The sequence below is a fragment of the Homo sapiens genome, chromosome 5 (assembly GCF_000001405.40).
Source record: "Homo sapiens chromosome 5, GRCh38.p14 Primary Assembly".
Taxonomy (NCBI): domain Eukaryota; kingdom Metazoa; phylum Chordata; class Mammalia; order Primates; family Hominidae; genus Homo; species Homo sapiens.
This window is the reverse complement of record NC_000005.10, coordinates 113,774,005-113,786,588: the sequence shown is the minus strand read 5'-3', so window position 1 is coordinate 113,786,588 and position 12,584 is coordinate 113,774,005. Positions and strand designations below refer to the sequence as shown.

At 41.1% G+C, this 12,584-nt stretch overlaps 1 long non-coding RNA gene across 1 annotated transcript in view, besides 1 other annotated feature; it reads left to right on the top strand.

Moving 5' to 3' along the window:
* The first annotated feature begins 9,280 nt into the window (after nt 1–9,280).
* Nucleotides 9,281–12,584, top strand: part of LOC105379127 (uncharacterized) — a 37,837-nt gene continuing 34,533 nt past the window's right edge. Inside the window, exons 1-3 of the long non-coding RNA XR_948680.3 lie at nt 9,281–9,373; nt 9,727–9,846; nt 9,943–10,162. This is a non-coding gene — a long non-coding RNA (uncharacterized LOC105379127). The remainder of the gene's footprint in view (nt 9,374–9,726; nt 9,847–9,942; nt 10,163–12,584) is intronic.
* Nucleotides 9,887–10,480: an enhancer, noted in NCBI's record as "OCT4-NANOG hESC enhancer chr5:113111806-113112399 (GRCh37/hg19 assembly coordinates)". NCBI's record gives its function as "activates a minimal SCP1, AML or CMV promoter by ChIP-STARR-seq in naive H9 embryonic stem cells {active_cell/tissue: H9 hESC(naive)}" and the evidence as "EXISTENCE:reporter gene assay evidence [ECO:0000049][PMID:30033119]".

The window sequence follows — 12,584 nt, the reverse complement described above, 5'->3', positions numbered from 1 at the left end:
TTATTCAAAAGTTTCAGAATCTTGTTTTGTTAAAGGAAAAGTAAAATGTAAAGAGAGTTCAAGAGAGAGAGTAGGTCGGGCGTGGTGGCTCACGCCTGTAATCCCAGCACTTTGGGAGGCCGAGGCAGGCAGATCATGAGGTCGGGAGATCGACACCATCCGGGCTAACACGGTGAAACCCCGTCTCCACTAAAAAAAATACAAAAAAATTAGCCAGGCGTGGTGGCAGGCGCCTGTAGTCCCAGCTACTCGGGAGGCTGAGGCAGGAGAATGGCGTGAACCCGGGAGACGGAGGTTGCAGTGAGCCGAGATCACGCCACTGCACTCCAGCCTGCGGGACAGAGTGAGACTCTGTCTCAAAAAAAAAAAAAAAAAAAAAGAGAGAGAGAGAGAGAGTAGTTTCTGTGAAAGGAATTCTGTGTATAATCGAGTCAGCTAAAATGAAAAGTTACTTAGTTTTTCTAAAAATTAAACAATATCCAAGACACACTGATGCAGGGCCATAGTCTGGGCCCCGGTGTCAGGATAATAGCGTTTTCTTGAAGCACTGATCTGATTTTTTATTTATTTATTTATTTATTTATTTCAATTTTAGAGACATAGTCTGCTGAAGTGCAGTGGCATGATCACAGCTCACTGCAGCCTCAAACTCCTGCCTCAGCCTCCCAAGTAGCTAGGACTAGCTAGGACTATAGGCCCATGCCACCACACCAGGCTAATTTTCTTATTTCTATTTTTGTAAAGATACAGTCTCACTATGTTGCCCAGGCTGATCTTGAAGTCCTGATCTCAAGTCATGCTCCCACCCTGGCCTCCCAAAATTCTGGGATTACAAGTGTGAGCCATCATGTCCAGCAAAATCTACTCTTTAATAAAAAAATTATGAGAGATTATAAAAGGTTTATGAAAACCTTATCCTGTATAGTCAAAATTGATTGAGATTGAATGAATTTATTGTTTTATTAAAATTAGCTTTAGCATCAATAATACACTAATGCAAAGGTAGAACTTTTTCTTTTTCAAATGAGACTTTCATGTAATATTAATAAGAGATAATAGGCTGGGTATAGAGGCTTATGTCTGTAATCCCAGCACTTTGGGAAGCTGAGGTAGGAGAGCTGCTTGAGCCCAGGAGTTTGAGACCAGCCTGGGCAACATAGTGAGACCCTGTTGATATAAGAAATTTTTTTAAAAAATTAGCCAGGTGTGGTGGCACACACCCATAGTCCCAGCTACTCAAGGGGCTGAGATGGGAAGACCACATAAACCTGGGATATCAAGGCTGCAGTGAGCCATCATTGTGCCACTGCACTCCAGCCTGGGCAACAAAGTGAGACCCTGTCCCAAATAAATACATTTTAAAAAATAAGAGACAATAAAAGATGTCTTAACATTTTGCGTAAACTCCAAAAAATAAAAGACAGGAAAGAAAATGAGATTCAGTTGGCCCCATGCTGTTTTATTAGGTCTTAGTGATTGTTTTGGGAAACTGAGTATCCCCTCTATCAAACAGTAAAGGATTTTGCTTTTCAAAATCTCTGAATAACCACTTTGGCTAAATGAACGACTATTATTTTACAGTGACCTGTGATCTTATTTGGGGTTATCAAGTGATTTAAACCTTTGATATCTGACAAACTTTCCAAAATCAAATTTCAAATTCTAAACTTAGTCTTTCTCACCTCAAAGGAATATTTCGGATATTAGAGCCCCTAGAGGTCCAAGAGAGACATATTAGGCTTATTTGGTATGTTCAAATCACAGAGTAAGCATTGCCAAATATAAAATTGTATTTAACTTTCTTTGAGTTACATTTATATATATGTGTGTTATTAATAGGCATTCCAAAATTGCATGAGATTTCTGTAATTCTCATATCTCAGTATATGTTATCAGTAATACTTATGATTATGTTAAATTATTGTGTGCCACAGAAATAACCACATTTCCTTGTCAATTGGGTTTTTAACATGGCTGTCCTAAGACTTTTGTCATCTATAGACAATTATTGTTTTACTTTGATTCTTCTCGAAAAGCATTTTCTTCTTCAAATAAGTTCATGGAAAGGACTCATGCAAGTGCTCTTGAATACAGATTTCTGATAACTTTGGAGATTGTACCGTTAGACTGGTTAAAAAGCTTCCAGGGCTTTAATTAAAAAGCTGATGCATTCATGAGGCTTGCTAACCCAATATCAAGCAGAACAAGTTAAGTACATGGGACTAAACTAAAAGAGGACTAAAATAATTTTTCGCTTTCTTGTTTGAAATGTTGCTGATTCTTTTGTTTTTCAGAGTCAAGGAAACTTTTTTCTTTTGAGCTATTTATAGCTTTTAACAACTGAGTAAAGTATACTCTTGTGAGCAAAATTTGAAGCATTTTTATTTCTCTAAAATTTGGAAATTGTGTATTTTTTTATTTTATAGCAATATAGTTATTTGCCTAAGTTCAGTAAGAATCTGTTTTATAACAGGACACAATTAGAGACACTGGTTATTTTACCAAGGCTTTGACTGGAATGGCATATTTTCTGATATGACCAGACTGCATTGAGGAATTGAGGTTGAATTTATAGAGTCAATAAATAGCCCCTGGGAAAAACTGGCCTGGTACTTTGTGTACACAGTTTTCTTACAATGTTGCTGAACCTTTGGTAAGTAAGGTCATTTTCTGACAGGCCCAGGAAACTCAAGATATTTTGGAACCTTGAAAAGAGAGGAATCACCCAATTCATACAGGTATCTGCAGACACTGATAAAACTTTGGCTTGGCTCAAGAGGCTTTTAAATGTCTAATCTGAGTTTTTCTATGAAAAACATTCTAGTAAAGCCTATTTTTAAAAGTCTATATGGCCAATAACTGTCTTGCTGCACTTTATGCAAATAATTAGGCCTAATATAATAAAGCTAAAACTTATTTTGCAAATAAATTGGTCCTAGTCTGATTTTTTTAAAGAGAAGGGGGACTGGAAAGAGAAAAATTACATTTCAGAAGAAAATGATAGTATACCTGTTATTAGATTCTAGGATTGTCCATTGTTTGAGTTTTTACTTGAACTGAATCCTGAATTCTTTTCTGAATAAAAGTCTCAAAACTAATGTTTCTTCCCACTTTTCTGACTTGAACTCAATGAAATTGCTACCATCTTTCCTGAAGCCCCTCAAGCTGAAGTTTCTACCTTGGGATACAGGCAAAGAAAACTTGTCGGGTTGCCACTGCCTTCTGCCACTTTAACTAAAGATGCTTTGACTCTAACATCTAGACACCTCAACTTAGTGCTTCCAGATTCTAAAGAGACTGATTTCAGATCAACTTTATTCTTCTTGGATGGGACCATATGAGGTGCTGCTGATGACTCATTCCTCAGTAAAATTAAAGAGTCAAACTGATTCCTGGGTAAAGCTGGTTTCCAAGAGTCATTTGACCCCAACTCTCGAAATGCAACAGAAAATGGGAAGCACATCATAACAACATCACAGTCCTGACCATCCAAGCCTGAGGTGGAGGCCCCCCAAGGCTGACTTCTCTAATTGGACCAGCAAATCCCTGATAGATCCCAAGTTGCCACTCAGAAGACAGACTCCTAAATATAAGTAATAAGAGATACCAAAGTACTTAACAATATTATTTGTCATTGCATTTCTTATTTTTTGCATCTACTACTGTCTAAGCAGATTCTGTGTGCTGCTGTGGGGGTCTTAATTTCTTCAGGTGCTCACATTGAACTATTGACATGATTGCCTTTTTTGTTATGCTTCCTTGTGGACTGTGATCCCCCCAAATCAAAAGGAGAACTCTATGTTTAGGATTTCTCATTCATTGGCAAAGAGAGGTAACCTGTAGATGTCATCTGACTCAGTTAATAGAACAACAGTGCACCAGTTCATTAAACTGTCATATCCTGAATGCCCCCCCAAAAGTAGTATACAAGAGAATTCCATTATTTTAGAAGTCCCCTCTGTTGGATCTCAAGGAAATTTGCTGAAAAATATTGAGGCTCTACCTCATTATAATGCCTTCCTCAATTTTTCCTCTTCAGATAAGCAAGACCCCTACACCCTCAATATGCCTCCTTAGAGGCCTGTTCCCTAAACATGTTAGAAATCACATATCTTAGCTCCCAACAAATTAAGCAATTTATTGAAACTAAACAGTCCACATACTCACTTTGGGGATCCACAAATCTATACTTGCCCAAATACCAAAAAGATGGAGCTGGGTACTTTCTCGGGTGAACTTTGTTACCTTGGTGAGGAATGGCATCCAATGTGTACATGATTAGAAATCTCTCCCCAACTTTATGAATTCTTGTGATGAAGCTGCATTGGCAATAGACACTCAGAAGAGAGGAATTAGTTCATTAGCTCAGATTGTCTTACATAATTGATCTTATATAATAGCCTTAGATTACATTTTAGCTGTTCAGAAAAAAAATGTGTGTGGTTGTAAATATCACATGCTATACTTACATAAATGAATCTGTGGAGGTAAAAAATCATCTAAAAACTCATCTAAAAAGAATTAAAGAACAAGCCATTTGGTTACAGCAGGTCTCCTTGACTGTCCCCAAGAACTGGTTTTCTTCCTCGTTTTCTTAGATTCCTTATGGAATGCAGTCCATGTTTTCTGGATTGCTAATTAGGCATCTTGCTAATTTTACTTATGCTTTATATTATAGCCAAATGTGTATTAAAATGTTATGGTACAGCATTAACTAAAGCAACAATACAATCATAGTTCAGCACCATGGTGCCATGCCTGAGACACATGAATATCTCAAGCTCCATGCTAGAAACTTTCTCTCCTCATATCCTAGTCTCCAATCATTGCCCCAGTTCAGCAGCAAGTAGCCACAGCAGCCTGCATCCCCATACCCATCAGGATTGATGGGTTGACAAGAGACAGGGGGAACTGAGATAGAGTAGAGACCCCTCTTAGAAGCCTACCAGGTACCCCCAGTCTAAGCATGGAAATAAAGGAAAATCTTGAGTTCCTTCAAGAGAAATTCCAGGCACTTAGCTAGCCCTGAAAAGTAAGTAAGCACCCTCATAAGCACGAAGGAAATCGTATCCTAAAACAATAGCCAAAAAGTTAGAGTCAGGGGATGTTTGGTTCCCTAGAGAAACTAAAGATAACATCTCAACATATGTCCCTGAGTTATTTTTCAGAAATCTGGACCCCTATTACATGGTTCTACTTGTGTGTAGTCCTCAGATAAGGAGGAACTGAGCTCTGATTTGCTGTTCTTTGTTCTAAATTTCTTCCTGAGTGACCTGGAGGAGGTCACACCCATGAGCCAGAGCTCACATTCTTTTCTGCTGATCCCAGATGTTTACACAAATTTTTGCCTTCTTAACCAATTGCAAATCAGAAAATCTTTAAATCCACCTATGACCTGTGGGCCCCTGGCTTTTTAGGTCAAACCAATGTATAGCCCCCATGTATTGATTTATGGCTTTGTCTATAACCTCTGCCTCCTCACCTTTAAAACCCTTACCTGTAAGCTGTCAGGGAGTCTGGGTCTTAAGCCTTAGCTGCCCAATTCTTCTTGCTTGGTGCCCTGCAATAAGTGTCTCACTTTCCGTCACTGCGATCCTGATGTCAGTGTCTAGGTTTGCTGCGCTGGGCAGGTAGACTGAAATTCAGTTTGATAACACTGTGGGAACACACCTCAGGCACCCTGTGGGGAGACAAGGCTCTGCTGCTATGTCATGGGGACTATTTTCTGGTACCACAATATCTTTGGTACAAATAGAACTGCCTGTTCGCCTAGTTCAATCATTATTCTGGCATTTAACCATCAAATTCTGGCCTATGTGAATCTGGGAGAATGTTTACAGAGACCTCCTGAGAAAACTGTGGGTCCTAGAGCCAGCAATGTAAAGACCATTATTTTTCAGAGCCTAATACCAATTCTGCTCATAAAAGATATGGAAAAAATCCAAAGGTGTTTTTTCCTACTCTCACTCACACATCACTCAACACTTCTGACACCAAATGTTGGGGGATACTTCCACACATACCAAGTACTTCTCTAGTGGATACCAGCTAGGTGGCCAATAATTCAATTCTGACACTATCTCCCTGGAGATAGTTTCAGATCCCACAGGTTAAAGGCTCAGTCTGATGAGTGCCCCTCACTTCAGATGCCAATCACAAGGCCCAGGTTGTGACCTGTGTTTCTGACTGACCAGCTATAAATTGGGGTTCCCATGAGCCCCTCCTCAAGCTCCATTAATTTGCCAGAGCAGCTCAGAGAACTCAGAAAAACACTTTACTTATGTTTACCCATTCATCATAAAGGATATTACAAAGGATACAGATGAACAGCAACATGGAAAGATACACAGGAAAAGGTATGTGAGCAGGGGCACAGAGCTGCCATTCCCTTTCCAGGCATGCCACCCTCCAGGAACCCTCTGTGTGTTCAGATATCAGTTAGTTGCCTGGACCCTGCCTTTTAGGTTTTCCTGGAGGCTTCCTTATATAAACATGAGTGATTCTATCATTGGCCATTGATGATCAGCTCAACCTTTAACTCTTTGCCCCCTCCACTCCTCAGAGGTTGGCGGTGGGACTGAAAGTCACCAACCCTCTCATCATGCCTTGGTCTTGCAGTGACCAACCTCATCCTGAAGCTATGTAAGAGCTCCCTACCACCAGTTACCTCATTAGCATACAAAAGACACCCTTATCTTTCTGGAGATTCCAAGGGTTTTAGAAGCTATTCATCAAGAAATGGAAGAAGATCAAATATATATTTCACAATATTGCAGCCCCAAATGATGATGCAGTGACCAGCTGTTAATGTTATTTGCCCTCTAAAAATTACTGGACATGCTAGAAATGGTATCAGTATCAATATCATTTTTACAGTGTGACAAATAATAATTTATAAATTTAAAAAATAGTAGTTTGGGGCTCTTTAAAGAAATTTTAGGTGAGGGGGAGAAATGTGTTAACTGGGGGGCTAGATGGTCTAATTTCTAAAGTGGGCAGTGTGTGTGTGTGTGTGTGTGTGTGTGTGTGTGTGTGTGTGTGTGTGAGACTTAAAGTGGCCTTTGGACCGTCTATTAGCTAAAAGAGGAGAAAAGTCATGAGTTTGCCCAAATCTTTATTCAGAGGCCAGAGAAAAAATTTCCCCATTGAATAAATTTTCAAGAAACAGGGAGGGACTAAATAAAATTGTGTGTTGATTACTTCCAAGTGGTGTTTCTTCCAATTACTGGTTATCTCTGGGGAACAGTGATTCTTTCAAGGACAATACTAGAGAGAAGCTCTCCAAAGTCAGAAAAGGAAGCAGGAAAGACATCCATGGCCTTAAAAAGATCAGGGCTTTTGGAGTACTGCTTATGGGGGTTGCGTATTTTCATTATTACCTTCTGCTTCATAACAATGTTTTAAAAGCCAATAAGTGATAAGTGGGCATGATTTCTTTGGTGGCTCACAATGAGTGGCATCATGAGGCTGTCACTTATATATGCCAAGCACTGGCACTGATGGCACACCACAGGACAGCAGAAGGCAGCAGTTCTCAAACTAGTCCCTAAACCAGCAGCCTCAGTAACACCTGGAATGTGTGAAAAATGTGAATTATGGGGCCCTATTCCAGACCAATTGAACCAGAAACTTGTGGGCTGGACCCAGTAATGTGTGTTTTAAGAGACTCTCCTGATGATTCTGAAACATGCTGAAGTTTAAGAACCACTGTCACAGAGTTAAGCTTCCAGGCCTTGGTGTTAAACAGCTCCCTCTTTAATCTTTGCTCTGCCATTATGACTATGTAACTTTGGACAAATTTCTGAATTTTAACCTTTTTTGCTAATCTGGAAAATGAAGATAATAATTTTCCATTCTTCATTGGACTTGTTTCAATAGTAAATGAGATTGAAAATAATTGCAAAGCCTTTTAGTACAGCCTCTAGAAAATTGACTTATCGAGTCCCCACCTAAAGGCTAGAGTGAGGATTATTATTCCTACATAGAGTTGCCAGATACAATGAATAAAAATACAACATGCCCAGTTAAATTTGAATTTCAGAGAAAAAGTTATTATATACTGTTGCATTCTTCCATGGGCTTTTCCAGTAGTGCACGGGACATACTTCATACTGAAAAATTATTCATTGTTTTAGTGAAATTCAAATTTAACTGTATGTCCTATATTTTGTCTGGTGACCCTATTCCTAGGTTTCAGATGAAAAATCCAGCTTAAACAGGTTGAGTAATTGTCCAAAGTCATAGGGTTAGTGACGTAATTGGGATTAGAGCCCTGGTGTGGCCCATTTCAGCAGCAGATTCTTTCTATTTTTGTATGATCCCTCATCCCTGGCACATGGAACCAATGGATTCTCTGGAAGGACTAATTTCCTTTCGTTTTTAAGACTGTTATTGGAGTTGTGAACACGTATGTAGGCAGAAAGGACTGTGTGGTGTTGTATTTCCTATTTCTGAATGCATTTTCTAATATCCAAAATTGTCTCAAAATTATCTTACCTTCATTAAGTAAACATGGGGGAAAATCTATAGATTACTATATAGAGTTTATATCAGCGTTAAGCACCTGTGGTATTTGTTAATTAAACAGTATTCTCTTTTGCTTTTTTTTTTATTTCCTGAGATAGGGTCTCACTCTGTCCCCCAGGCTGGAGTGCAGTGGTGTGATTATACCTCACTATAACCTCGATCTTCCAAGTTCAAGCTATCTTCCCACCACAGGCATGCAGCACCATGTCCAACTAATTTTTTTGATTTTTTAGTAGAGACGAGGTCTCACTATGCTGCCCAGGCCAGTCTCAAACGCCTGCGCTCAAGCAATCCTCCCTCCTTGGCCTCCCAAAGTGCTGGGATTACAGATATGAGCCACTGCACCCAGCCCTCTGTCTCTTTCTTTTGAGGTCATCCTTATGAGGCAGGAGGATAGGATCTAGAGGCAGGGAACCCAAGGCTGTTTCACACTGACTTCCTAGAACTAAATTGAAAGGAAACCCTAACTTTCCACGCCTAAGTAACAAAAGGAACAGAGGTTACTCCCTTTGCAAACTCCTCCCCTTTTCTGCACTGCAGATGGGAAATTGACTGTTGGCAACAAATCAGACTGATTGCAGGTTGAGTATTCGTTTGCAACTTTGTAACTTCACTCCAGCCTCTGAATGGTTGCTGTCCACAACCAATCAGACTGATTGCAGGCTGAGTCTTCATTTGCATAGAAGTATAATGTTGTAACTTCACCCTAGCCTCTGATTGGTTGCTTTTTGCAACCAATCAGATGTTTGCACAAGAGTGTGACATTTGTAACTTCACTTCAGCCTCCAGTTGGCTGCTTTCTGCAAACAATCAGACTGATTGCGGGCTACAACTTCATTTACATGAGGTGAGCATGAAGTGGCCAATGGGAAACTTCTAGGGGGTATTTGGACCCAAGAAGATTCTGTAACTGGACCCTTGAGCCACCTCTCCGGCCAGCTCCCACACTGTGGAGTGTACTTTCGTTTTCAATAAATCCCTGCTTTGGTTCTTTTGTTGCTTCATTCTTTCTTTGCTTTGCTGGGCGTTTTGCCCAGTTCTTTGTTCAAAATGCCAAGAACCTGGACAACTTGCAGTCACAACCCTCTATCAGTGACATACCTTGGCAAGCCAGCCAGGAGGAAAAGTAGGCCCAAAGTTTGGGATTTTTCTCCTTTCCCCTTGTAAATCTTTCTCTCTCTCTCTTCCTTTCCAACTCAGTGCCCTTGGTGGACAGCACCTAAGCATGGAGACTTCATGCAAGTTTCTGCCCAGGGTCACTATCTAGTGAAACTGAAAGGTTTCCACATGGAAGCACCTGACCGCCACCGCCCAGTTCAGGTGAGGGATCTGAGTCCTTTTTCTTATTTTCATTTTTCTGAGTCCTATTTCTTTTTCCCTTTTTCTGAGATTTTTTTTCCTTTTCTCCGTTTTCAGTCTTTCAGCAACAGTTTCCTAGTAGCTCCTGGTAATTGAGGGAAACTGACCAGGACCGCTCTTTGGCATTCTCTGAAGACCAAGAAGCAAACAGGGATAGATGCCCTGCCTGGAAGGGGAAAAGACTCTTTTCTATCCTTTCTGGTTATACTCCCAGAACTCTACGTGTGACACAGTTGGATGTGGCAGCTCATCCAGGGCGAATTCACACACGTTTCAGGTGACTTAAACCCCTTCTTTTCTTATGCTAAATTCTTCCCTTCCCCCACTCTACTAGCTAAGGAAAGAAAACCCACCTCGCTATGCAAAAAGGTTATACAAGTCAGATGGCCTGGGCATGTCGTAGGTGGTCTGTGTGGTGCATGGGGGGTGGGGATTATTATTGCCTAAGTTGAGAGAGTCAAAGAGTTGCTTTAAGTGGGATGGAAAAACCTTAAGAAAAGTTCACAGTAAGTCCTCAGTGGTGGAGAAAACCATTCCAAAGAGGTGCTGGCACCCATCTAAGGTTGGCGACATCCAACAGACTAAGTTGCAGCCCTAAAGGGGGATGCCCCCAGGGACCCTAGTCTGGGCCCAGAATTTTTCCAGGGGAATTCTCTGGGTAAAATTTGGGTCACCTAGTGAGCCCTCCACTGTTCAAAGTCTCTTTACTAGACCACTGTGGGCAATTCTCAATCTATTCCACCTGATTCCACTGTAGACAACCCTTCACCTATTCCACCTGATTCCCTGCTTGGAAATGTCCCAGACCACATTAATAAACAGGTTAACCCGCTGGGCATGGTATACTGGAAAATTGGGGAAGGATAGAACAGCAGTGCCAGTCAAAATACAGCTTAAAAACCCCAGCTATTTTCCCAATAGAAAACAATACCCTATTAGGCAGGAAGCTAGAAAAGGCCTAGCACCCATAGTTGAGGTAATACTTACCCATGGGCTCTTAAAATCCCCTGCAATATCCTCATCTTATCTGTTCTAAATCTGTAATTCTCCCTGCAATATCCCCATCTTATCTGTTCTAAAGCCTTCAGGGGAATACCGGTTAGTTCAGGGCCTCGGAGTAATAAATGAGGCTGTCATCCCTATCCACCTATTAGTGGCAGATCCATATACCCTCCTGGCTCAAGTACCACAGGATGCAAAATGGTTCTCAGTTCAAGGCCTGAAAGATGCTTTTTTCTCCATTTCTCTGGCCCCAGAGTCCCAATACATTTTTGCCTTTGAACAGGAAAATCCTAATACCAGGAAAAAAACAACAATACACTTGGACAGTGCTCCTTCAAGGTTTTCGGGATAGGCCCTATTTCTTTGCCTAGACCTTAGAGAGGGATCTGAGGGACCTGTAAACGGGGAATGGGAGTATACTTCAGTATGTGGATGACCTTCTTGTGTGTAGCCCAACCCAGTATGTTTCTGACCAAAATACTATAAAAACTTTGAATTTTGTGGTAGACAGGGGATACAAAGTGTCCAAAAACAAGGTGCAGATTATCCTCAAATGGGTCCAATATTTAGGGTATGTCTTAACACCCAGAGCCCGGCAAATATCCCCAGAACAAGTACAAGCCATAGTGGTCTGGGGGCACCCCCACACCCAGCAGTAGCTTCCTTCTTTTCTGGGGAATGGCCAGGTTTTCAAGAATATGGGCACCACATTTTGGGATCATAGCAAAGCCCCTGTGTGAAGCAACAAGGGGGCCTGAAAATGACCTAATGGAATGGACCTCAAAAATGAGAGAAGCCTTTGCTAACTTAAAACAGGCTCTTACCCAGCTTCCACTTATGGCATCCCAGACCTAACTAAGCCCTTCTCCTTGTATATAGCAGAGAAAAGGGGCATAGCCGTGGCAGTGTTAGACCAGAAATTAGGTTCAGAACCCAGAACAACTGCCTACTTTTAAATAAGTTGGATAGAGTGGCCTCGGGGTGGCCAAGTTGCCTGTGGGCAATAGCAGCCACTGCTATGTTAATGGAGGAAGCCACTAAAATCACCCTGGGCCAACCACTGGAAGTTCTAATCCCCCATCAGGTAAAGTCAGTCTTAGAGATAAAGGGACCCATCTGGATACTGGGGAAAAGGTTAACCAAATACCAGACCATGCTCCTAGACAATCCAGACGTAACCCTTAAAACCTGTAACACTCTGAATCCAGCTTCATTGCTGCCCACAGCCCCAGTAACTGATCATTCCTGTGAGCAGGTCATTGCACACACATATGTTAGCCAGCCTGATTTAAAAGACCAGCCTCTTCCAGATTCTGAGGATGACTGGTTCACAGATGGAAATAGTTTTGTGTCAAATGGGGAGCATGAAGCTGGACATGCAGTATTAAATCATAACACAATTATCAAAGCCCAGCCACTGCCCCCTGGCACATCAGCACAAAGGCTGAAATTATTGCTCTCGCTTGAGCATTAATGTTGGGACAAAGAAAAAAGCTTAACATCTATACAGATTCTAAATATGCATTCCTTGTGGTTCAGGCTTATGCTACAATCTGGAAATGGAACTACTAACTAGCAAACACTCCCTTATAAAGCATGGGCTTGAAATTCTTCAGCTATTAGAAGCAATACACCTGCCAAAGCCTGTGGCTATAATTCACTGTAGGGGGCATCAAAGCAACTTAACCCCTATAGCA